Source organism: Homo sapiens, chromosome 1, assembly GCF_000001405.40.
Source record: "Homo sapiens chromosome 1, GRCh38.p14 Primary Assembly".
Taxonomy (NCBI): Eukaryota; Metazoa; Chordata; class Mammalia; order Primates; family Hominidae; genus Homo; species Homo sapiens.
Genome location: NC_000001.11, coordinates 176,667,684 through 176,692,800, shown reverse-complemented (window position 1 = coordinate 176,692,800; position 25,117 = coordinate 176,667,684). Strand labels below are relative to the sequence as shown.

Genomic DNA, 25,117 nt, shown 5'->3' with positions numbered 1-25,117 from the left:
AGGTGTCAGAAGCACCTACGTAAGTCAGGGAAGCCCTCTGATGCACAGCTTGTGGCAGTGGGCACACTACCATCCACCCACACCCAGAAGTGCCTGGAGAAGCATGCTGTAATCCCTCCCCCAACACCACTCTGCAAGTGGCAAGCTGCCACTCCACCCTCATGCCACAGAGGAACAGCTGACAGAGACAAATGGCAGATGCCCTCTCCGTTCTGCCAATTTATCCCTGTCACATCGGTCAGGCTCTCCAGGCCTCCCTGAGGGGGGAGTGAGCACTTAAGATGAGCCACTGGCTCACAAGAGAGCCCATGAGTTCTGCTAAAGCAACGAGAACAGAGCAGGCTGGAGCAGCAGCTCTGAGCAGTGGTGCACACATTTATACTTCCAAATTGGAGTTCCCCTGGATTCATATTCTTCCCCTCATTCATATGAAATGCCACAGAGAAATAAGCCAGCTCACCCACAGCCAGTGCCTCTCTCACCTGTCATATACAACTCCACTAATAGGAGGCAGCCAGTGGATAGTGAGGGACTTGTTGGTCTGTCCGATGACCATAGGTGGAATGGGGATGGGGGTGGGCTTTCTGCTTTCAGTCCACTGCTGATAGACTAGGTCCAAATAGCAATGCATTCGGGCCACTTGGTTAGGAGTGAAGTTGTCAGTGCAGTTATCATCTGTGGAGACAAAAAAGGTGGCACAAGAGATGGAGATTTTAACCCATCAAGTCCACCAAGGCAGGGATAAATTTGTGTCTTGTTCATGGCTGAGTTAACTTATTAGGCTCAATGAGCACTTACTTGTTGAATGAATGAACAAATGCAATCTGTTCCAGAAAGGGTCTAAGCTGGAAAGGGTAAGAGAAGACAGAGACCAGAGATGCAGCACTTTCATATCTAAAGCAAGGTCATGACCTTAAAGTTGGGCAGCTCAGGTTGCTCTGAGCTGATGGTTGCTTATTCAGCAAACCACAAGATGGCAGTGTTTCAACAGATGGCCTTTTCACTTGTGAACGTTTGTGGAGTTTCAGACACCTGCTTTATTGCCCAGTGACGTTGGCAGAGGTTAGTGAGTATTCAGTGGAGCTGCTCAAGGGGAAAGAGAGCCAAATGCCAATGAGACAGCAGGGCTGGGAATGGTGGTCTCAGCCTCACTTTTGAATCTGGCAAGGTCTCTTTAGCAGGTACATTTTGCATAGGGTTGGAAAGGGAGTTTTCTTAGTGCCAGGAACTTTTCTAGTGAAAGCACACCAGTCAAATACTGCCTCACTCAGCTTCCTAAATGTTTCCTCTTCCCGCTTCAAAGGTGCTGCCTCCAGAGCTCTGCCCTCTGCATGGCATCGTCTGGTGTTTCTGCCCCTTGATGGGGGAGAGGTGCTGGTGCTTACACATCTGATGCACCTGAATTATTCACCGCAATGAAACTCAGATAGACACATCTTGAAAGATGACAGACAGAATCGGCTCATCACGCTTTCCTCCCTTCAAAGTCATGACCAGGGTGTGGTGGTTTATTCTTTTTTGGATAGTTCTAGAAGAACCTGTCACCAAACAAGCCCCCAAAACTTATAGAAAAAATATCTTCTTTCACCATTGTACTAGGTCATCAAATAAGTCTTTAATTTTAGGGATAACTTTGAGTCCATTATAGGAAACCAGTCACTATTACTTTTCACAAGAAACAAGGAAGGCGTGAGAGACAGCGAAGAATAATACAGAAGCTGAATTAAGGCAAGAAAGACCAGATGACAAGTTTTTCCGAGGGCCAGGAAGATGCCATTTTTTTAAAATTAGATGTCACCTTTTGGTGGGGAAAGGGTGGTAGGCAGCTAAGAATTTGTGCTTGACTAGTGCTGGAAAAAGAGAATCTGATTTTTTTTTTTTTTTTTTTTAGTAACATACAGTAAAACATGCTGAGCCTAAATTAACCAAGCCACCTTGTTGACCAACTTCAAAAACAGTACAATGGGCCACCTTGACCCATAAACTCTTTTCCTTTATTTCCATTGGACTCTTCTTCAGAGTAAATGTCTAAGAATGCGGGCAAAAATAAGAATAACCACATTCTAGAAGTCAAGGGGATCACAAGAGGGCTTTTGGCTCTGTGCCTTTTTTACTATCGAGGATAGAAGTATATTTTAAAATATCTAGTAGAGGAGAATTCAGTGAACAAAGTACCTTAATATGTCAGTATTTCTTCAAGTTCTTCAAAGACATGAAAAAATAATAATACCTTATAATAAATACACTTCAACTCTCCGACACAAATGACCACTTAATCATTCTCCCATCAGCTCCCACACCTCCACCCTCCCAGCTCTCAAAGGCCCCCATGTATTCTTAACAGAAAACAAAACAAGACAGTGGTGATACCCGTGTAGCTCATGTAGTTGGTGAACGGAGCCCCTGGGAAGCGAGTGAAGCCACAGGTGTCACTAGTGGGCTCTGGTTCCCGGCACAGCTCACTCTTGGGAGTGGGGGCGGTGTCGGCACAGAGGTCTCCCGTTTCCATGGATGGCACTGTCTCCTTGCAGGGGTCATTGCAGGATTCTCTTTCACTGACTCCTTTAAAGACATGGTAGAGTCCCAGAACATGTCCCACTTCATGGATCATGGTGTCGGTGTGGCCAGGCATCCCATAATATGCTGGGCTGAGGACAATGCCACCTGCAATGAAAGTTTTGAAAAGCCTTTCAGAGCACAGAATGAATAGCTCTCCAATCCTTAATTATGTTTTCTGATAAACATCAAATATTCCATTTCAGCCTCTAAGGAGTCACTTTATAACTTCTGGTAACATACAGTCATTGCTTTTCTTTCTTGCCACAGAAACCCTCTAAACAAATTAATACACATTTCTTTATCCTCTACATGGGTGAGTGTTATACTAGAGGCCCAGGATAGCAATGTTGACATAATAGAGAGCCAGAATTCTCAGCCCTGTATGCATATTAAAATCACCTGGGAGAGTTAAAAGAAGACATACAGGGGTTCAAATACTACCCCAGATGAATTGAATCCAAACCTTTGAGGATGAGGTTCACAAAACGACATTTTTAAAAACTTCCTAGGTTGAGAATCACTGGTCTAGGCAAAAGCCCATGGGATTTGGAGTCAAGGAAATCTGATCTAACTCCTGCCCCTCCACATCCCAGCTTTGAGGACTTGAACAGCCGTCTTACCTCCTGGAACTCAGTTTTGTTGTCTGTAAAGTGGGGATGATAACACTAAAATTTGTTTGTTTGTTTTTCAGTGTTTGGCACATTAAAGGAAATGACAGCTGTGTAGACTGCTTCTGATTTAATAATCCCTACTCTCAACAACTAGTCAGACAAAAGATAGGTTCAACTGAACTACCACAAAATTGAGAATGTCACAATCACCATGAGAATATGCCCCACCCTCACTGCCCCTAAATCTCCATGAGAACACAAAGGGAGGTGTTTCAGAGAAGAGTTCATTGCATCCAATCAGGCTTAGATGAGAGACTTAGTGGTATCATTGGAACCTTACAAAAGGAAGGCTAAGGATCTCTAAGTGACCCAACTTCTATCTGTGTAGCTTGTTGGAATCCTAATTCCTGCTTTCCTCCTCTCCCATGGTTGAACCACCTAGCTTTCCTTGTTTACACCCCAAAATTGTCAGGGCCAGGCCCAGTCTTATCTCTGAAAGACAAGACAGAGAATGTCAACATCCCTGGATCAACCCTCTGGGGTCCAAGGTCACCCCTGGCTGTGCTGCCCAGCTGGCCCTGCCCTTCTTTCACAGGTCTGATCCCAGTTCCCAGGACTTGCTTCACTTCTTGCACCTGAGCCCTCCCTATATCAATAGTCTTCTGAGTATAGCAGGTCCTCCAGGAGAATAGCTCTGCCTTTCTCTTGCCAGATTATATTCCAAGGACTATATCCTATTCCTGCCTCCATTCAACATCCCTTAGACAACCACATACACAGCCTTATGGGCAGGAGACAATCACAGGGTATCTGGCGCTACACCCACTGGCCTATCTAATAGGCAGCTCAGTTGACTTTCTTGTGACTACTGTACTACACAGGACAGTTTCTAAGTCCAAGTTCCAGTCTCCCAGTTTACTCGAACATACTGACATTACCCAAGCCATGCCCAGACTCATCTAAGATGCAGTGTCTCCTTTCACATCCCAGGTGAAACTAGACCTCACCTCCCGTGTTTATTATTTCTACTACTTATGGTAAAATTGTTATTCTCTAAACTTATCCTTTTTTATTTCTCTTTTGTTATAAGGTTATTTTCTGAATATTTATTTCATTTGTGCATCATGATGTCAACATAACGTTAAGCTAACTTGAAAACAGGTGTTTCAAGAGTGCCTGTTATTTGAATAAACCTGGAGAAACACAGTATTTCCACTTTCCAAGAGGCCCACACTTCATGTTTACATATCCAATGGCAGCAATAATCATCACCAACATTCATGTACAATTATGCCTCCAGTCCTCTAACGGCAGTATCAACCTTCACATCAGTGGATATAATTCTAAGAGAACAGCTTTCTGTTCTTTCCAGGTGCCTTCACCTTTTTCATCCTTTTTCCTCCACCACACTTCTACTCTGTACATATGTTTAATCCCTTTTCTGTCTACTCTTTCCTTTCTTTCCCACCACTTCTAAGTAAGTTTTGGCTTAAATAAAACTAATCTTCAGAAATAGGATTTGGAAAGGCTACACAATTCACCTATAAAGTTTAAGTATCTAAATTGATTAGTTTTTTTCCCAAATTGTGTTCATAAAATCTGAACCTGGGTAATACTTTTAAAAAACAAGTGGCATCTGTGGTTAAATATGCTTGAGGAAAATGCAGCACACCATACTACCCTCCTGAAAATCCATAATGTATATGAGAGTGAGTTGTTGTATTAAAGGCCCCGAAAAGTCCTTCATCAATTGAGTTTTACCCTTTGCTTTACAAACTTATTTGAACACAGAACCTGTCCGGGGTAGAATATCTTTTGATATCTCTGGAGTACCAGATGTCTCAGAGCACAATCCAACAAACACTACCAAAGATGAAAAAAAAAAAGTTCCAATCAATAGTTACCTTCTACTCATACATTTCAGCTCTGAGCAAACATCAAATATCCCCACATCCTATGGCCAGACAGGCCCAGGTCCTTTTGTGATCTCCTTCAATTATAGATAAAGAAAATATAGATGAAAAGAAAGATGGTTCTTGGAAGAAAGGATGGCAAAATCAACATATGCCAAGAAAGGAGGGATGACCAGGAGTGTGGACTGAAAACACTTGAGAATATGGGGGTGGTCATCATAATATTGGGCTTCTCATCAACCAGCAGAAGTCTCTACCTCAACCCCAAATGAGATGTTTCCAAATCTAAAAATATTTTGCAACAGCCATCTTTCAATAAACCAGCTTATTTATAACTAGAAGAAGAAGCACAAAAATGCAAGCCCTCAACACTCCCAGCAAATCCCCTCCATACCCAGGACAATTGGCCAGGGTTCTCCAGTGTAACACTCTTGGTGCACATTCCCAACACAGAAGAATAAAGTTTTAACCAAACAACACTTACATTTTCACTAAAAACATAATTTTAACACACATTTGCAAGCTATATTTTCAATTGCGAAGAGATGTACTTATGCTAAAAACTCATTTATATGAGAAGGCACTGCAATGGGTTCAGTAACTACATGTGTGTTAACTAGGAGATTGCACAAAATATAGAAATATAGAAAATATAGAACAAAATATTGCTCTAATTTCAGGATGAGTGTTGTGCACACCAACACATGTTGAGAACAAAAATCCCAAGGTCCTAGACCTCTTATGGTAATTCTATGTCTGCTAGAACACAAAATTATAAAATTATCCCTCTGGACTAGAACTAGAAGAACTTGGAGTGTGGAGCATTAGCTGATCCTCACTTGCTCCATGGCCTTGGCTGTTCAACCTTTCCCCTAATCTCTTCATCTGTAAAATGAGGGGGTAGATTGGCTTATCACTAAGATTTCTTCCCATCTGTATTCCCAGACCCTCAGAGCTAACATGCAGGCAGGCTTTGAGGGATAGTCATGAACACATGTGAAGGAATCTGTATTGTCCTGGACTGTCACTGCCTCTGCCTTGCAGTTTGTGTTTCAAGACTCCCATCTCTCAGCAGCATGAGGGAAAGGGGAAAGCTGGCAGTAAGAAGCCAGCCATCCTACTCTCAGACCTGCTGCAGATTTCCAAGTGACCCAGATTCGCCAACCTTTAATCCACACTCCCTCTCCAATGGTGATATAGTTTGGCTGTGTCCCCACCCCAAATCTCATTTTGAATTGTAAACCCCATAATCCCATAATCCCCACATGTCAAGAGTGGGACCAGGTGGAGGTAATTGAATCATGGGGGCAGTTTCCCTTATGCTGTTCTCGTGACAATGAGTTAAGTCTCAAGAGATCTCATAGTTTTATAAGTGTCTGGCATTTCCCATACTGGCACTCATTTTCTTTCCTGCCCCACTGTGAAGAGGTATCTTCCACCATAATTGTAAGTTTCCTGAGGACCCCCAAACCGTACTGAACTGTTAGTCAATTAAACACCCTCCCTTAATAAATTACCCAGCCTCAGGTATTTCTTCAAAGCAGCGTGAGAACGGACTAATACAACCAGTTTGCACCCTTCATCCACTCTCACAGACACACAGAGGGGTCTCACACTGTTCTTCCCACTCACCCTTTATTCCAACCAAAACAAACTTGTGATGTTATTAGGGAAATGAGTTTTAATCACTCACAGACACACATACTCACATTATTAAGGAGTGGGTTTTCATTACTCACTGAGACACACACACACTCACATCGATGTAGGGGTGAGGAAAGACATTAAATTTATTTGGTGATTTAGTTTAGAAAAGTTCTTTCATGTTTTAATAAAAGTTACAAATACACATGTACTCATGCCAAAGCTGGAGTGAGGCATAAAGATGTGTTGCCCAAAATTTAATAAGAGGAATGCAAGCATTTCTTTTCATTAAAAGGAACAAGATGTGATAATAAATAATAAATAAAAACTGAGTGGTTAGAGTGGCAATCCCTTCCTGCCATCATCAGCATTTAAGTCTTCCCCTGGTGGGGAGGAGGGGGCCGGAGGGACTGTGCATTCCCCTGCTTTCAGAGAAAGCTGCAATCTTTCTCAGGGACAACATCGTAGGAATAATGAAACAATAATAAGAAATGCTACTTGTCATTACCATTTTATATTAATATTCAAATGAACCAGCATTATCTTCTGAAGCTAGAATCTGCACACACACTTTCTTCCAGTTACATAGGTCAGACTCCGCATGGTTACACATGGGTACCTGCACCAATGGGCAGAAGCTTCTCTCTCACAAGGTAGCCTTTGGAGAGGCCAGGGCTCCTTCTTTGGCTGGCACTGTAAAAGTATTGATCCTGATATGGGGAAACACTCCTTAGAAGCTCTCAAGGCTGTTTACTGATCTGTTTAATGGTAATAACAAGAGTTCCTACCTCAAAGGATTGTCATGAAGATTAAAGTAGTAAGGCAAATAAATAAGCATTTAGCTTATTTCCCAGAACAAAGAAACTCAAAATATATATTAGACCACTTGTCAATATTATTATTCTATGTGCAGTCTGGCAGTACACGTTCATTTGCCTGTAACCTTCATTGGCTCCCACCTAACCTTCATTCATTACAAAAAAAAAAAAGGAAGGTGGGGCCTGACCATAAATTGGACAGACCTCCCAGAGTGAAACCAGGCATTGCCAGGCACAGTAGGAGAACAACCTCATCAAGGAGCTCTGATTTTCCTCTAAGTCGCTCATGCTTTGTCTTCATGTTTTTCTGATCCTGACAACCGCAGGCATCCAGAAGACAAGCAAGACTTGGACAGGGCTGCAAACAGACAAGTGCCCATTCTCTTCATAGACAACACATTAGGGTTCAAAACTTATTCCTAGCAGTCTGAAATTAGGCTGCTAATTGCAAGAGGAAAGGAAAACTTACTGAATTGGGGCTGTTGGCATAATTCTTCATAGACCTCAAATTATTGTTAGATCAGATTTACACAAGATGTCTTTGTTCTATAGTGCCAATAATCGTTCCCTTCCAACTCTCTAGTTATGGGGAATATGATTATCATTTTTTATACTCAAAACCATTAATTTTTATCATTCCTTATATTGGAGGACAAAACTGAAACACAGATGACAGATAAAATATGATAGTAGAATGGGGAGTGGGGGGGTAGGGACGAGATTCCATCCCTTACAGTTGAATCCCTTCTTTGGTGTTCCTGCTCTTGCCTGACACATTGAAACAGGAAGAAAAAAGAAATGCACACATATATTTTCAACTATACCAGGACACTTCAGTCTCCACTCTGAGGCACTTTCAGGCTCCCCCACCTTCTCTCACTTCCCCAACGCCCATCCTGCAAGGCTGTCGACGGACTGATAACAAGACCAGGAATACTTACTCAGGGGAAGCTTTAAAGTACTAGTGTAAAAGGATGGAAAAAATTTGGAAATACTAACATTTTACCCCACTGGTTCCATGCTTCTCTTCTTCTTACTCCACTCAATTCACAATGCCAGACTTTTCTACATGTATTAACCTCATTAGGAAGTAATACAACAGAATGAAAAGCAAGGAAACAAGAAATCCTTTTTTGGCTGTGGGGTTTTCTAAGCCTCTGCCACCTGGGTCCTGAGACGATTCCATCCATGGTTTAGCCCGCATGGTGAATGGATTGAAGATAGGGACCCTTGCTCTCATACTACCAACACGACCACTACCACATTAGCTTAGAAAAGATTCTCCCAAGCTGAAAGAAGAGGAAAGAGACCAAAGGGAAATAATGGGAATGAATAGATGGTAGTGGGTCCAATAAAGTTGATTGTACCTTGACTTTCGAGCTGGGAAAGGGATAAAAACCCAAAATAGGTTTGTATGATCTGAGAGCAGAGGGATCTTGCCTCATTATGGTAATAGATTCCTAAGTGGCTTAGCCCTAGAGAGGAACCACTGACCACCAGAGCTAAATAGGAAGGGCAACAGAGCCTGCCAGAAATTCCCTGAGGGTGTCCCTGTGATGAGAACCAGGGTCATCTCAGGTAACCAGCATCAACTGGTGACCAAGGACAAAAATGGATCATTTTCCCTGTGATCTTGGCACATATAAGCCATCTCCACAGTTAGGTACAGCCCCAAGCATAACAGGCATAATTGACTGAGAGTAAATTACTACTGCTCATCAGCATGGGGGCTCAAAATAGAAAGAAAGTTTAATGACAGAAGAATAAAGTAAGTTACATTTCTTGCATACCTGAATGTGTATGCCAAGACTTGAACCCAATGCGTCCCAATACCATCAACTTGTACATGGAAAACGATATGAATGGGCTCCCAGGATTTAGCAACTGGGGGCCATGTGTGGTACAGCTGTTCCTTAATGGACTGGCAGCAGGAGAACACATGCCTTCTTAGAAGATCTTTCAGCCTTGATTACAAAAGACAAGCCAAAACAATAAGAGAATTGTTGTGTGGTCTAGGGGATGGTGTGGGGGAAGAAAAGAAAGAATCTGCTAATTAGAAGATGAAATCTTAGTAGTAAACAGCCAAGCTTCCAAAGTGATTCTATATTTCTAAGTTCCTACTGGCTTTTCCAGGCTTTAACACATGAATGCCCAAGTGGCTCATGGTAAAGAGAATGATTCCCAAAGCCACTTCCAGCAAATAAATAAATAAATAAATAAATAAATAAATAAATAAATAAATAAATAGCTTTGGGCAACTTGAGAAAAGGATATTGGTTGAAAAACTCTAAAACAGTTCTGTAAAATTTTTAGGGCTGAATATTATATGCCCATAAAACGGGGAGGTTGAGGGCTGGTCTGCATGTGCCTATGTAATTACTTCCAGTGACTGGTGAAACTCTGCTCCTCAAAACATGCTGTCCACAATGAGCAGACAAAGTTATAAAACTGTGACTTGGGGTCCAAGGAAGGAGCACTTCAAGTCAGGGCAAGGAAAGAAAAAGTGGTGTAGGTGGACTGGTAGGCAAAGGGAGAGAAAGAAATGGAGACGATTAAAAAATAATAATAATAACTGGAGCTAGAAAGAGAAGTGAATCTTTATTTTTTATAGCTAATAATTTATTGGATATTTTTAAATAACTAAAAGAATACAATGTTCTTAACACAAAGAAATAACTGATCACCACACATTGTATGCCTGCATCAAGACATTACATGTACCCCATAAATATGTACAACTATTATGTACCCATAATTAAAATTTTTAAAAATTAAATATTAAGATCCATAACAATAAAAACAAACAAAAATAACAAAAGCTACTACCTTGTCAATGACAAGGTACAGTCCATCAGGTTGTAGACTGTAACCATGCTCAAGTCTCTTTCAATCCAAAACTTTCTTCATCACCCTCTAAGCATCACCTTCTCCACACTAGTGCTTTATGCCTTCACAGCCAAACTTCTTGAAAGATCCACATCCCCCTCTTCACCTTCTGTGGGTTCCTCTACCTGTCCCACTCTGGTTTCTGCACCCAGACTCCACAGAAACAATCTGGTTGACGTTACCAAAGACTTCCCACTTACTATATCAGTGGATAGTTCTTAGCACCTGAGGCTTCATTCACATGAATGTATCACAACTGACGTAAACTTTAATCTCAATATCTAACTGTTTGGTTGAAAGAAAGCTGAAGGCTGTCCTGGAAGACCCCCTGTGAAAGTTCTGCATAAGTAAGGGATATCTCACCTCCAAGCTAGTTTCTGCCACCTATACTGCTGCTGCTTTGCCTTCTCCCAGGGAGTGGTCCTACCCGTACCAACCCTGTGAGAGCTACTCTGCCGCAGTCCACTGGGCTCCAGAACATTCACAGACCGCTCACCTCCCCAGACCACCCACCATTGCTTACCCTTTCCTTCTCTAATTTATAAGGAAGCTCCCTCTGCTTCTTACAAGCAGTTCTACCATTGCAAGCAGATGCATTCCTAAAAACACATTTCTTTCCCTTTTAAAAGAGCCAAGATCTTTCCAGGGCACTGAAAAATTTTATATATTGGAGATGTGGTGTGAGGCTGAAGGCACAACCAGGAAGGGCAACCACAGATACACCATATTTGGAGCTTCTACTACTGGTACAAAAGCTCATATTTATTGAACTCTTGCTGTATGCCGGACATTCTTCCTCATGCTTATTATCCCCATTTTACATATGAGGAAACAAAAGCCCAGGTCCCATTTGTTCCTATCCATGTGAAGCCATAACCCACTCCATCATTCAAATATTTTCTTTTCCCCCAGTCAAGAATCACTTCATCTGGACTCATCTGAAGATCCCTTATGTTTAAACCCCCATGATCCAGGTTCAAGTTTCCTCCCACAGGGTCCTCAAGTCGCATGCACCTGAGGGCATGCTGCCCTCAGTGAGAGACTTGGTGCTTTCACTGCTCTGTGGTGGTACAGACATTCTCTAGAACAATTAGGAAATGTGGCAGGCAAGCCAGAACACTCGGAAATATGTAGCTTCTGTGCCACAGTGATTCTTCTCTCTAACTTGGCCAAAATGCCCGTGTGCTGATTTCATCTCTCTGCAGTAGCTGTGGACCCCAGGGGACTTTCTCAAAACTCTCTGTCTTTTGGTTTCCAATACACCCCCTGATACCTATTCCCCCTCCCTCTTCCATGGAAGCCCCTTCTTAGTTGATTTTAGAGACCCCTAGCTCAACATATCCAAAAACAAACTGGCTCCCCATTTGCTTTTCCTTTTCCTACATTTTCCACCTTGGCACCACCATCCACTCAGTCAATCAAACAGAACTCCTCTTTTCCCCATCTCCTTATTTATTCGAACAAAGTTTCTTAGCACTTACAGCTATAAATGAGAAACAAAGCAATATAATTTATGTTAAATCTTTTCTCATTACAGCAATAATTACTATTCATCCACAGACACAAGAACTACTTTGGGGTTGGGGGAGCCACATTTATCTCCTTAAAATACACATTTCCCAAGTATTTGTTTTTACTAGTGATTAACCAACATCTAAAAATATTGTTTTGATCAATTGTAGAAGAGTAATCATTGCAAATGATAACTCAACTGAGAAGCGATTTTTAACGCTTTATAACTTAGGTTAGTTTCAATGCTGATATCCTGTTTGTGAGATTGTACTATTGTTTTACAAGATGCTACCGTTAGGGGAAATGGGTAAAGGTTATACAGAATGTTTTTGTATTGTTTCTTACAATTACATGTGAATGTATAATATCTCAAAATAAAAAGTCTAGTTTAACAAAACGTGATCACAAAAGAGTTGTTGTATTCAAGTTTTTAGCTGAGAAATAGGTAACCAACTAGACTGAAAAAATATATGTATATGTTACAATAGTATAAAATTCTATAGAAGTGAAATAGAAACACAAATTTACAGAGACAAAAAAAAATGAACACTCGCTATTTATAAAACCAAACTCATCCACATCATCTCCAACCAACTCCTCCTCCAAACTTCCATAATGTTACTGAAGATTTAGCTTTATCTCAGACTATTCAAGTGCAGTCACTTGGAGGCATCTTTTATTTTGCCTTTATCTGTATTGCATAAGTATTGAAGAGTCTATCTCCAAATTTTTCTGTTATGTTTATCCTTTTGATTTTTACACTAATTTAGACCCGATTACTTTTAATGTCTTACCCAGTATCCATTCCTTCTATACTTCCTTCTTTTCTCAGAGTCATATGCTTGAAAAGTCAGAAAGCTCTAGGGGCCACATAATCTCTTTCCAAGTGAGAAAATCCACACAAATCTATGGAGTCCCTATTGAACATCAGGCATTTGCTAGGTTTAGAGATCTATAGTGGGCCATAGGAATTGCTTTACTCAACTCCAGTACATCTCTATTTATGCAACTCAACCACTCTCCTTTCACTCTTTGTCTCTTTCTACTTTTGCTAATGACTTCTGCTAATGTACTTCTCTCTGACTTCTGAGTCATTTGCTCAATACCTTTCCCACATTTCAAGTTTCATTTCCTGATATTATCTCGCTGGCCTGGTCATTATTTTTCCCCCTTGCTCAGAGTTTTGCACCAGCCTTCCTTGCAGACAACTGCTTAGCACATAGACCAGCTGCCCTTGGGTCAAGTGGCTGCTGGTTTCATGCCCTGTGAAAAGAGAAGGGGGTTGCAAAGCTTAGAAGATGGTCTCCTATGCTTATTGAATTGCTTTAATAAACATTATATTAGATCAATTTCCTTCATTGTACAAAGAGTATGTTTAATAAGGTACCCACTTTCATAACAGAAAAATGATAGTATCACTAAATCTAGAGAAGAAGCAAGTTGCAACATGTTAATTTTGGGGTATTTGGGGGTATTTGAGATGAGACACCTGTTAAGTAGTTGGAAACATGGATGTAGATCTTAGGAGACGGGTTTAGTCATTCAAACTAGAGAAACACATTTGAGAGTTATCAGGATGTAGGTTGATGGCATCACACATAAAGGAGATTAGTCTACGTGACCATAGAGAACGTCTTGAATGTTGGGTCAAGGATAAAACTCAGGGAACGTCAGAAGAACAACTCAGTAAGAAGATTGAAAGAGTCAGTCAGAGGAGTATGAGAAAATCAAAATTTATGTTTACCATGAGAGTGCAGGAGTTTCCAACCTATCTTTCTATCTTCTTTTTCCTGTTCCATATATATAAATATATGTATATATTCCAATGTTTTAGTCAGTTAGACCTCCAACTCTTACCTAATAATTTCTCATGCTTCATACAACCTATTCTTTCCTTGTGCTCACAATTCTCTTCTTCAAATCTCTACCGATCAAAATCAATTTTATCTTTCAAGATACATTCTGTATATATTTTTTTAGTTTATTTTACATTTTTAACATACACACATTTATATACTTTTCTCCTCCTTTTACTGGATTTTAGGCTTTTGAGAACCTAGACAGTGTTTTTATTATTGCATCTCTTCTGATAGTACTTAGTAGGCATATGAGAAATAAAGTTTTTATTCCTAGCAGTGTCATTGATTCTGCCTACATCACTATTTGCTTCTCCTGCCATTTTGCTTTCCTCTTACTGGCCTGACTCCCAGCAGGAAAAAAAAAAAAATATTTGAAATGTAAACATATTAGCACTTTTTCCAGAAACAGATAGTAAAGGAAAAACATTACAAAAAGAAAAACAGGCTTCTTAGGCTGATGTTTAACAGTAATAGAAGAGGTGGTATTTTGTTTTCTCATATACATTAAATTGCTGTAAGATTTGGCAAGAACAATAAAAACTTTCCATGCTCCTTTAAAAAAAAAAAAGTAAATGACCATGATTTTTTTTAAATAAATGATGGTGATTTTCAAATTGGTATGGTACAGAGAAGACACTTACGAAAGTAAATTTAAGATTTATTTTTAAATGATAGTAGTTTAAAATAAAATTATATGCCCCAATTACTCTCTTTGCTACTATTAAACCTATTATTGGATGTTTAGGTGTTACTCTAAGAATGTGTGGTTTGCTGAGTATTTTGAGTCTCTTCACAGGTACGAGAGAAAAAGTAATTTTGAAGAGCACTGCTGTGGTCATGCAAAGCACACCCACTTCTAAGTGTGTGCTGAACCCTGCCATCTGCCAGTTCTTCCACTCTGGAATGCTCTCCTGTGTCTGCCAAGCAAACTCCTGCTTATCCTTCAATTCCCATCTCAAGCTTCAGCCCCTCTGGAAACTCTTCGTTAATGCTTTCAGCACAATTAGGCACTTTCCTTTCCATGTTACTGCCTAACTTCATGTATGTTGCCATCACATAGTATTACAAATCTGTATGACATATCTGTCTCCCAATCATGCTGTGCACCCCTTAAGGGCAGACTGTTTTCATTATTCTATCTATGGCATTGCCACAAAACACAGTCAAGTTTTTCTTTGAATGAATCAATGACAATGAGTATGGTATCCAATGAATCAATGACAATGAGTATGGTACCAAGACAATGAGTATGGTATCCAAGTTTTTCTTTGAATGAATCGATGACAATGAGTATGGTATCCAATGAGTAAGGTATCCAATGACAATGAGTATGGTATCAATGACAATGAGTATGGTATCCAAGGTATAAAAGGGCTGGTTTACGACTAACTTAAGTGTTCTGCTTTTAAAGATATGTTTTCAATTCAGGCATTGTTTACCATGGCTAAAAATGTTCAAACTACTGAATATTAGAGCTCAAGAGGATCCCACTCATTGATCCACCTGTAAAAAGATTTTTCTTTGTGTTAACACAGCATTGAAAGCACAAAATCATACGAAAGGGCAGAAATGGTGTTGATGGCAAATCAAGATGACAAATTACCTTGGTCTTTCCACATAGTGACTTAAGCCATTGATAGTCAGAAATTGGATTCAGTCTTCAAACTTCCAGGCTAGTGTGCTTATCTGCTAGTCCACTCAGCAGACCCTGAAAATGTAGGGCCTTTACATGCTGACACAAACAGATAATTTCATCTTGAGTCTCAAAAAGGCTCTATTTAGAAAATTCTGAATGTCTTCCTCTATCACGTTATGCCAGCTATCTGTACTACTCTACACCTGATTTTAGTCAATACAGTTCCTTTGTTTAATCAGTTATGATTGAACAAGAAGAAATAAATAAGAACACAAACAATTTCCTATTGAATCATATCTGTGAGCTGTTCAGTCTAGTTTTTTACTTCTGAAAAGCACATTAATAATCATGTTGTAGGGTAGTACAGTTATTTCTCAAAGGATTAAGAATAAAATATAAATATCCCTTGTTTCTTTTGCAATTCCATTATAAGTCAGTGATTCATGAGACAATTTAAGCATTTCTTGAAACCATTTAAATTTGATACATTTACTCAACTATACCTTCATTCAATGATCACTCACAGAGCACCTGCTATATGCAAAATACCTTGCTTATTTATAGAGATCATAGATGTCTATCAGATTTCACCAGTTTTTACATGCAGTTGTGTGTGTGTGTGTGTGTGTGTAGTTGTATGCAATTTATCACATATATACATTTGTGTAATCACCACCACAGTCAAGATACTGAACTGTTCTATCACTATTAACATGTCCCACCTGCTATCCTTTATGTCACACATACATCTATACTTTTCTCAACCTCCAACCATGTAGTGCTTCCTCATTCTTAAACCCTGGAAATCACTAGTTTGTTCTTTATCTCTAGAATTTTACCATTTTGAGAATACTGCAAATGTGAAATGTTACACCATGTAAGTTTTGAGATTGGCTTTTTTTTTTTCACTTAGCATAATGCCCTTGAGATCCATCCAAGTTGGTGCATGCATTAATACTTCGTTGAGTAGTATTTCATTGTGTCGATGTACACAGTTTAAGCAATCGGCACTGAAGGACACTTTTGCCATTTCCAGTTTGGGGCTACTATATAGAAAATAGAAAGCTGCTATGAAGATTCATTCATGTACAGGTTTTTTAAGTGGACATATATTTTAATTTCTCTAGGATTAATGACCAGGAGTCCAATTACTGGATCATATGGCAAGTGTATGTTTAGTTTTATTGAAAATTGCTGAAGTATTCTCGAGTGGCTGTGCCATTTCACTTTCCCACCATCAATGTATGAGAGATCCCATTTTTCTGTATCCTTACCAGGATTTAGTATTGTCATTATTTTTTATTTTAGCTCTTCTGATGGGTTTGTAGTGTTACCTTGCTGTGGTTTCATTTGCACTTCTCTAATGATTAATTTTATTGAACATTGTTTCATAGATTTATTTTCCATCTGTATATCATCTGTAGTAAAATGTCTGTTCACGCCTTTGCCTATTTCTAACTGAAATATTTTTGTTTGTTTTACTGTTGAGTTTTGAGAGTTCCGTATATCTTCTAAATACAAGTCAGTTGCCAGATTCGTGTTTTGTAAATATTTCCTATTCACCTTGTTTGCAGTTTATAAAATATCTAGAATCTGTGGTTTGATATCTTTTGTCAGTTTGCAAGATTCTCGGCCATTATCTCTTTGAATATTGTTTCTGCCAACAATTTGTTTGTCTTCTTCTAGAACTCTAATTTACAATAGAAATTTTTCATGGAGTCTTAAATGTTTCCTAAGATCTCTTCTATATTTTCACAGCACTTTATTTTTCAGAGCTTCAGTTTGTAAATTTTCTACAATGGTCTAGTTCTTAAATTCTTTCTTCTGTTCATAAACCCATCTATTCATTTCTTAATTTTTCTTACTGGTATCTATTTTTAGTTCTAAAATTTCCATTTGATCCCCTATTAGAGATTCCAGTTCTCTGAAGAAACTATGCATTTTCATCTATTTTTACATATTAATCATAATTAAAGCCAGTGCCCAATAATGCCAATACCTGGATAATTTTTATTGTGTATGATTTGTTTGTTTGGTTTATCATCATTTGACCCTGTCTCCTGAAATAGTTGATATTTCTTTATTGATTGCTAGACACTGTGCATGAACAATCATAGAGGCTTTTGATTATGTCTTTCTCCAAAGAATATTTAACTTTCTTTTGCTAGGCAGTTAGAATAGAGGCAGATAAACTTCCTCCAAACAAGGATTAAGAGTGTTTCAGGAGGAAACATAAAAATTCTAGAAGATAACACTGGAAAAACTCTAGACATTGGCTTAGGCAAAGAGTTCATGACCAAGAACCCAAAAGCAAATGCAACAAAAACAAAGAAAAATAGATGGAATGCATATCAAAACCACAATGAGATACCACATTACTCCTGCAAGAAAGGCCATAATTTTTTTAAAAAATCAAAAAATAATAGATGTTGATGTGGCTGTGGTGAAAAGGGAACACTTTCACACTGCTGGTGTGAATGTAAACTAGCACAACTACTATGAAAAAACAGTATGGAGATCCCTTAAGAACTAAAAGTAGATTTACCTTTTGATCCAGCAATCCCACTACTGGGTATCTACCCAAAGGAAAAGAAGTCACTATATGGAGAAAAGAAAAAAAAAAAAAAACACTTGCACACATGTTTATAGCAGCACAATTCACAATTGCAGCAATATGGAACCAGTCCAAACGTCCATTAATCAATGAGTGGAAAAAGAAAATACAGTATATGTGTATACCATAGAATACTACTCAGCCATAAAAAGGAATAAAATAATGGCATTTGCAGCAACCTAGATGGAGCTGGAGAACATTATTCTAAGTGAAGTAACTCAGGAATGGGAAACCAAACATCACATATTATCACTTATAAGTGGGAGCTAAACTATTAGGATGTAAAGACATAAGAATGATACAATAGAACTTTGGGGACTCAGGAGGAAGTGTGGGAGCAGGGCAAGGGATAAAAGACTATACACTGGTACAGTGTACACTGCTTGGGTGATGGGTACACCAAAATCTCAGAAGTCATCACTAAAAAATTTGTCCATGTAACCAAACACCACCTGTTCCCCAAAAAACTATTGAAATGTTTTTAAAAGAGTGTTTCAGGCTGGATTTTAGGCTTTGTATAAGCTGTACTACTTCTGTTTACCCTTGCACAGAGGGTGTCTCAGAGCCCCTCCTCCTTGACAAGGCCTCAACTCCCAATTTTGTCTCTTCTGTTATGAGACTCCTAAAATCACTGTTCAGCTTTTTAATCTCTTAGAAGTTATTTTCTATGTGTTTTCTTGCCCAGTGTCCCTGAGAATGTGAGTTTAGTAAATAACAAATATCTTAAAAGAAAATCACAAGCAGAAAATCAGTCTTACTTTTTGTGATTTCCATTTCTCTAGGATCCTGGTCTCTCAAGTTTTAGTTGCCCTGAAAACCTGAACTCTAATTTTTGTCTTGAGACCAAAGCAAGCTCTAGGCTGCTGCTCTCTGCTCTGCCTCTATGTCTTCCACTGAGAATGTGGCAATTTCCCTGAAAGGAAAAAGACTAAGTTATATACAGGACTCACTTCAATGCATTTTTCTTCTTTCAGGGATTGGACTCCTCATGTCCTTGTTGCCTTAGCCAGTCTGATGTCTTCAAATAAATAATTTTTAAAGTATTTTATCCATTTTTATAGTTGAATGAGTCTTGCTAATGCCCAATTCTAATAAAGTTAGAAAACATTCAATAGTATGCCCCAGCCCAACAATTCTTATCAAGAAGTCATGATTTGTCTCCATAATGGCCAGGAAGATAATTTTTAAGGTCTTTTAACCAAATAGATTCAGTTCCTATTGATAGACCTGGGCCTCATGGAAGCCACTGCTGGGTAAACCTTGCTATCAGGACCTCCACAGACATACACCAGAAAGGTTATTCTTGGTGATGGGAGTGTGCATCAAGTTGGAGATATTTTCTTACAGTGTTATATATCCCCTCTGCTACTGTTGCTTTTGATTAGCATAACTCAAAACACCCATACTCACTATTAAATGGACTACAGGAACAGGAATATGACTTTCTAGTCCACCCATTGCTACCAGGAAGGCTAGAATGAAACACACTAGCTTTCATCTGGAAAGCACAGAGGTGTCTCCAGTTTACCCGACCATCTTGGAAATGTATGACTGAAATCTACAGCCCCTTTCTGTCAGCTGTATCAAAAATCCTTTGGAACTGTTCCTGAAACCAATAGCCATGAAGTGCAGGCTATGACTTACAAATTTGTTTTCTGACAGGCCCAACAAAATGTCTCATCCCACCCAGAAACCTCTCTTTCCCTAGTTTTTCACTCGTAGTAATTGTAGATAAATCTGAATGCCTTCTTTGGTTTATACTGGATCCCTGAAAATATCAGGTCCTTACTTGAGGAACCTGATAATATGTTATCAACACATGCAATGCTCTTGCCTTGGTAGCCTCAGGCCACCACTAACATCACAAATTTCTGATTTCTCATGTACTGAGAACTAAAAATACAGTTTAGTGATAAAAGGACTGCAGGGCTTTAAAACTGAATCAGGTACTATAGAGCCAATGAAACCCAGCTATGCACGCTGGCAAAGCATTTAATTTGGATCCTTACATGTTTAATTTGTTATGCATATATGTGTATATATACATTTGCATATAGCCTCCATTTTCTGGTATATATAACCCTTTTGGATCTCAATCTGATTCACTCTGTGGATTTTCATCACTGTTTCACACTTGAACAGCATTGAACAGCAATCTTTTCTTTTTTTTTTTGGTCTATCGCTAACACATTGCTCATCTTCCTCCTTCCCCAATCTACAACACTGGTTATCTTTTGAATACTTGCTCATATTGTCTATGATTGTCAATTCGATATGTTCTAGACTTCACTATGACCAGGTGCTTGACATATACAGCATTATGTTCTATTTCTTTAATTTATTCCTCTCTGCTTCTTATTTGATTACTAGGAAGACCAACTTTGCAGTACCTTTTAAAAATCATTTATAAAATTCTTTCCAGTCAGTCTAACTATTCTTTTTCCAACATAAAATATTACTCTCAATTTTGGTAACTTATTTTAAAATAAATTTTTATAGAATGCTATCTAGAACATTTTGGAAATGTATACTAATTATGTTCATTAATTACTCTTTATCCATATGTTTATAAAACGGATGTAATCCCTCTTCTTGCTTGGTCAGTAAGATTTCCCTTTATAATAATAAGACGTTGTAAAAAGGATTGTCTTTCTTTTTTTTATTTTTTATTTTTTTATTTTATTATTATTATACTTTAAGTTTTAGGGTACATGTGCACAATGTGCAGGTTAGTTACATATGTATACATGTGCCATGCTGGTGTGCTGCACCCATTAACTCGTCATTTAGCGTTAGGTATATCTCCTAAAGCTATCCCTCCCCCCTCCCCCCACCCCACAACAGTCCCCAGAGTGTGATGTTCCCCTTCCTGTGTCCATGTGTTCTCATTGTTCAATTCCCACCTATGAGTGAGAAGATGTGGTGTTTGATTTTTTGTTCTTGCGATAGTTTACTGAGAATGATGATTTCCAATTTCATCCATGTCCCTACAAAGGACATGAACTCATCATTTTTTATGGCTGCATAGTATTCCATGGTGTATATGTGCCACACTTTCTTAATCCAGTCTATCATTGTTGGACATTTGGGTTGATTCCAAGTCTTTGCTATTGTGAATAGGATTGTCTTTCTTAAGTGTTCAGTAGTTGCACTTTGTGTTAAGGTATCCACTCTTTTCCCCGGTGAGCAGGCAAGCCCCACCTTTTGAATTTCCTGGGATTTTTCTCAGGAGTCCACACCATACAAGAAGCCCATCAGTCTTCTAGAACAGTGATCATGTAAAGCAGGTTTCACAGTCCAGCCACCTTCTGGATATTTTGATAGTTCCCCACTTGGGGCTCTGCAAGACTTAAAATGATCTTATTCTATGCCAGCAATTTATTTGCATCTAAATTATAGATTCAGTCTAGAACATCCTGAGCATTTGCCACTGTTTGTTCTAATACCTCTTACTTGTCTATATTGAAACATTTTGACAGGCTCTACTAAGTGCCATTCTCAGCACAAAGCAGTTAATTCACTGTGTAAATTCACTTTTTCTCTGTCTTTCTTTTTTCCCCAAACTTACTTTCGCAAGCTTCCTTCAGCCTTCTTTGTTTTTTTCCTACTATGTTTGGTCTTCATTTCACTTACCCAGGTGAGTGACAGCGTCCTTGTCCCAAGGCCAGGTGGCAGCACCTGCAAGGTCTTCCCGCACTGAGCTGGCAAAGTAGATGTTGAGGAAGTGAGTACTGTTCAGCTGCAGGGCCTCCTTCAGCTCCTTCACACTCATGTATGCCCTAGAGAGCATGCAAGATGAAAAAATGTCACAGCAAAGAATTGGTACTTAGAGAATAGCAGAGCCAGACCTAATCAGATTCTAATGGCACTCCCAGCCAGCATTACCTTTTGGAGGGGCATGGGGCAGAGACCAGCCTGTCATGAAGACCAGAAGAAAAGGCACTAATACACATTTGGGATGCTTATTCCAATAAATAGTATAATGACTTTTTAAAACACTAAAATGTTTGTATGGATACTCCATATTTGACATCATACTCAATTCCCCACCCTATGCCCAGGTTATTTCTTCAAGATAAATCTAATGATACCATGAATTCTTTGCCTTGAGAATTATTCTCAGGCCATAGTGAAGAAGGCCTTCCAACTCTTAGTTTCTTTTCCTTCCATCACACTGCATGATCCTTGAATTCCAGTTCAATCTCTTTTCCAGTATATGCCTACTTCAAGCATTATTTTTAAAAGAAAAAAGGAAATAGAGGATAGAAAACATAAAGTAAAAGAGGAAAATATGAGATGAGTTATAAGCAGGGAAGGACATAATAAAGCTACTGCAAGGCATAACAATTGTATAGACATCTCTCTTTATACTCCCTTAATCCATGGAAACTCTACCCTACTCCAATTACTTTATGATACCTAGTATGTTTATTGGTGACTTTGAAAGCACTAGGAAATATTATGTTTGCATTGATGCACAGAATTAAAGGTCTATTAAAAACACATGACTTGTGGCTTATAAAAAAGGAAACAAACATTTGGTCTGTTTCTAAACTCATATATAGTCAAAGATCTTTAGCTTCTCAGCATCAGTGAAACTTAAAACTTTACCATAAGCAAACAGGGCCTTGCTGTTCTCACTGAAGTGTTTTTTAAGAAGGAACAACCAAACCAGAGCTCAATGGTCCCTTAGACTTACTAGATGCTCCCCACAGTGGCCGTGGTCTGCCATTCCAGAGATAGGAATGTTCCTATCACAGCGTCAGCTGGGCAGACAGCCTGGCAACATAGGTTGGAAATTTCCTTTACTGATTATGCTTTGTTGATGCTATTCTAGTAGACAAGCTGCAGACATTGAAATCTACCACCCTAGAAGCTCATGTTAGGACAGCATGACCCTTCCCCTCTAGCTTGCTCTGCCTCCTGATTGTTGATGCCATCTATTTCATCCAAGTGTAGGATGTGCTGGCAAAAAGCACCTGAGAAAGGGCGATCCCAAAGATTGTTTATTTATTTTTTGGAACAGAACCAAAAACAGGAATAAAAGGAAAGACAAAAAAAGATCTTGCTTTAGAAACAAAGATGTTTAGGAGAAAAGGGCTTTTAAAATACTATCTTTTACTGACTTATAATATCTTGGAAAACTAGCTCTCAGCCACAAGAAATCACCCAAACTCCATGAGATGATATCATATGTGATCAGGGGGATAGTTCTCCTGCTGCTTTCCTGAAGACACAATGTTTTCTGAGTTGTTGCCTGGTTTTCCCAAGATATTAGTCACATTCTCCTTATTTTCTCCTTTATTATAAATAACTATAATTTCCTTTATTGATAAATTGATGGTTTGGGGGTGATGATGATATCAAGTGAGTCTTCAACATGGAGATGTTTCAATAGGCCAGAAGAGAGAGAAGGGAAGAGAAAAGAGAATGAAGGAAATGAAAAGAAAAAGAAAGAGAAGAAAAGAAAAGAAGGGGGAAGAGAGAATCAGAGACTGAGCATGGGCTCAGCTCAGGGTACCAAGGAAGAAAAGCCACATCCTTTCTCTGTTGCTATTCTTGGGTTCCAATTAAAATTGGGAGTTGGTAACTTGACAGCTTTCTCTCTCTTCTCCTCAGGCACTTCTCCAACCTCCCTGCTCCTGACATGGCTTACTTGGGCTATCTGTGTGTTACTGGCTTCTCTGCCTGCCATCTACCAGTCTTGGACACCATCCTCCCATCCTCCCTCAACCCACCAGTTCCACTAATTTATCTTGAGCACCCTCCGAGGGGCCTCCTCCTCCACACCAACCTCATTAGCTGGTTCTCCTCATCTCCCTTTTCTTCCTTGTCCAATCTTCTCTCCACGCATAAATTACCCTTCCAGATGACAGTATTTATGTCATGCTGGTGGCAAACTGGGTATGGTTACTCAGACTCCTGTACTTCCCAGAGATACAGATATATGTCGTCAAGTATAAGGGAGAGAATATATTTTAAAAAGCTAGAAAGAGTCATTAATTGAATTGATAGAAGAAACCCTTATTTTGCTGGAAACAAAGACCACTATCCAGACTTTTCTCTAAACCAACGAGAGTAAACACATAGAGGTCACTGTGTCTGCTTTACATGCAGAATGCTCTGTCTATTGCAACACAGGTAACCATTTCAAAAGTTAATCGGAGCTAATGAAGATATTGTCTTAGCTTCTCAACCAATATGACCAGAATCTGGTTCATAGGCTTAGGATGAGGAAAAAAAATGGATATTATTTTCAAATTTAGAGCTTAGCACCTTGCTTCAGAAATGATTAAGAGATAGACTTGCCATTCAAATTAGCTTAATATTCAAGGGAAGCTAGAATGCCATACATAAATGCAGTGAAACGCAAAAGGGGCATGCATTGACCAGAACTTTGTATTAAAAGGGGATGAACTGCATTAACCTGCTTAATTTCTGCCAGGATCTACCTTTCCTCATGCTCTCTATGCTCTAGATAAGGATACTCACCTATATGTATCCCTGAAGGACTCAGAGTGACCGAAGTTATATCTTGGTTTTTATAAAAATCGTCTCAGAAACAGGCTGTCCTTGGAGCTGACATATCAAGCTGTTCTGCCCCATTGCTCAAGCTTGTTAGTTCTGACATGCCCCGTGGAGAGTACACATCTGCTTCACCATTCTATGACCATCACCTACTAGTTTGGGATTAGCCATTGCCAGGTTTCCAGTCTACCGTGTTTCATTGCCTCCCAGCCTTAGTGCATTCTCTCTGGCTTCTGCCATGCCCCGACAGCTGGCTCTCCAGCCACATCCCAGTATCTAAATGTACACGCAAACTTCAACTACTGCTTGGTTCCCAACTAAACAAAGTAAAAGTGTAGGAAAAGTGATTCTTTGTGCTGTAGTTTATTAGTCAGTTAAATAGCCTTATTGTAGATTGATAGGAATTATTCAAGAAGGAAGCCAGAAATAAGAAAAAGATCTTGAGCTGTCTGCTGTCTGAAGGAAGTTGAATCAGTATCAAAAATTGGCATGTAGAAAACAAGACATAAAGGATGGATGTGCACCTTGAGACTGGGA

General features: G+C 39.2%; 1 protein-coding gene across 7 annotated transcripts in view; it reads right to left on the bottom strand.

Moving 5' to 3' along the window:
- PAPPA2 (pappalysin 2) overlaps positions 1–25,117 on the bottom strand; it is a 382,427-nt gene that overhangs the window by 152,801 nt on the left and 204,509 nt on the right. For 6 of the 7 annotated variants that reach the window (XM_047427180.1, XM_017002024.2, XM_017002023.2 and 3 more), the window contains 3 exons: positions 21,686–21,831; positions 2,371–2,664; positions 483–675 (listed from right to left, as the gene is read on the bottom strand). In XM_047427180.1, coding sequence (XP_047283136.1) covers positions 483–675; positions 2,371–2,664; positions 21,686–21,831 — 633 coding nt within the window. Of the gene's footprint in view, positions 1–482; positions 676–1,595; positions 2,665–21,685; positions 21,832–25,117 lie in introns of those variants that run through there. The other variant, NM_021936.3, reaches the window with a different exon arrangement.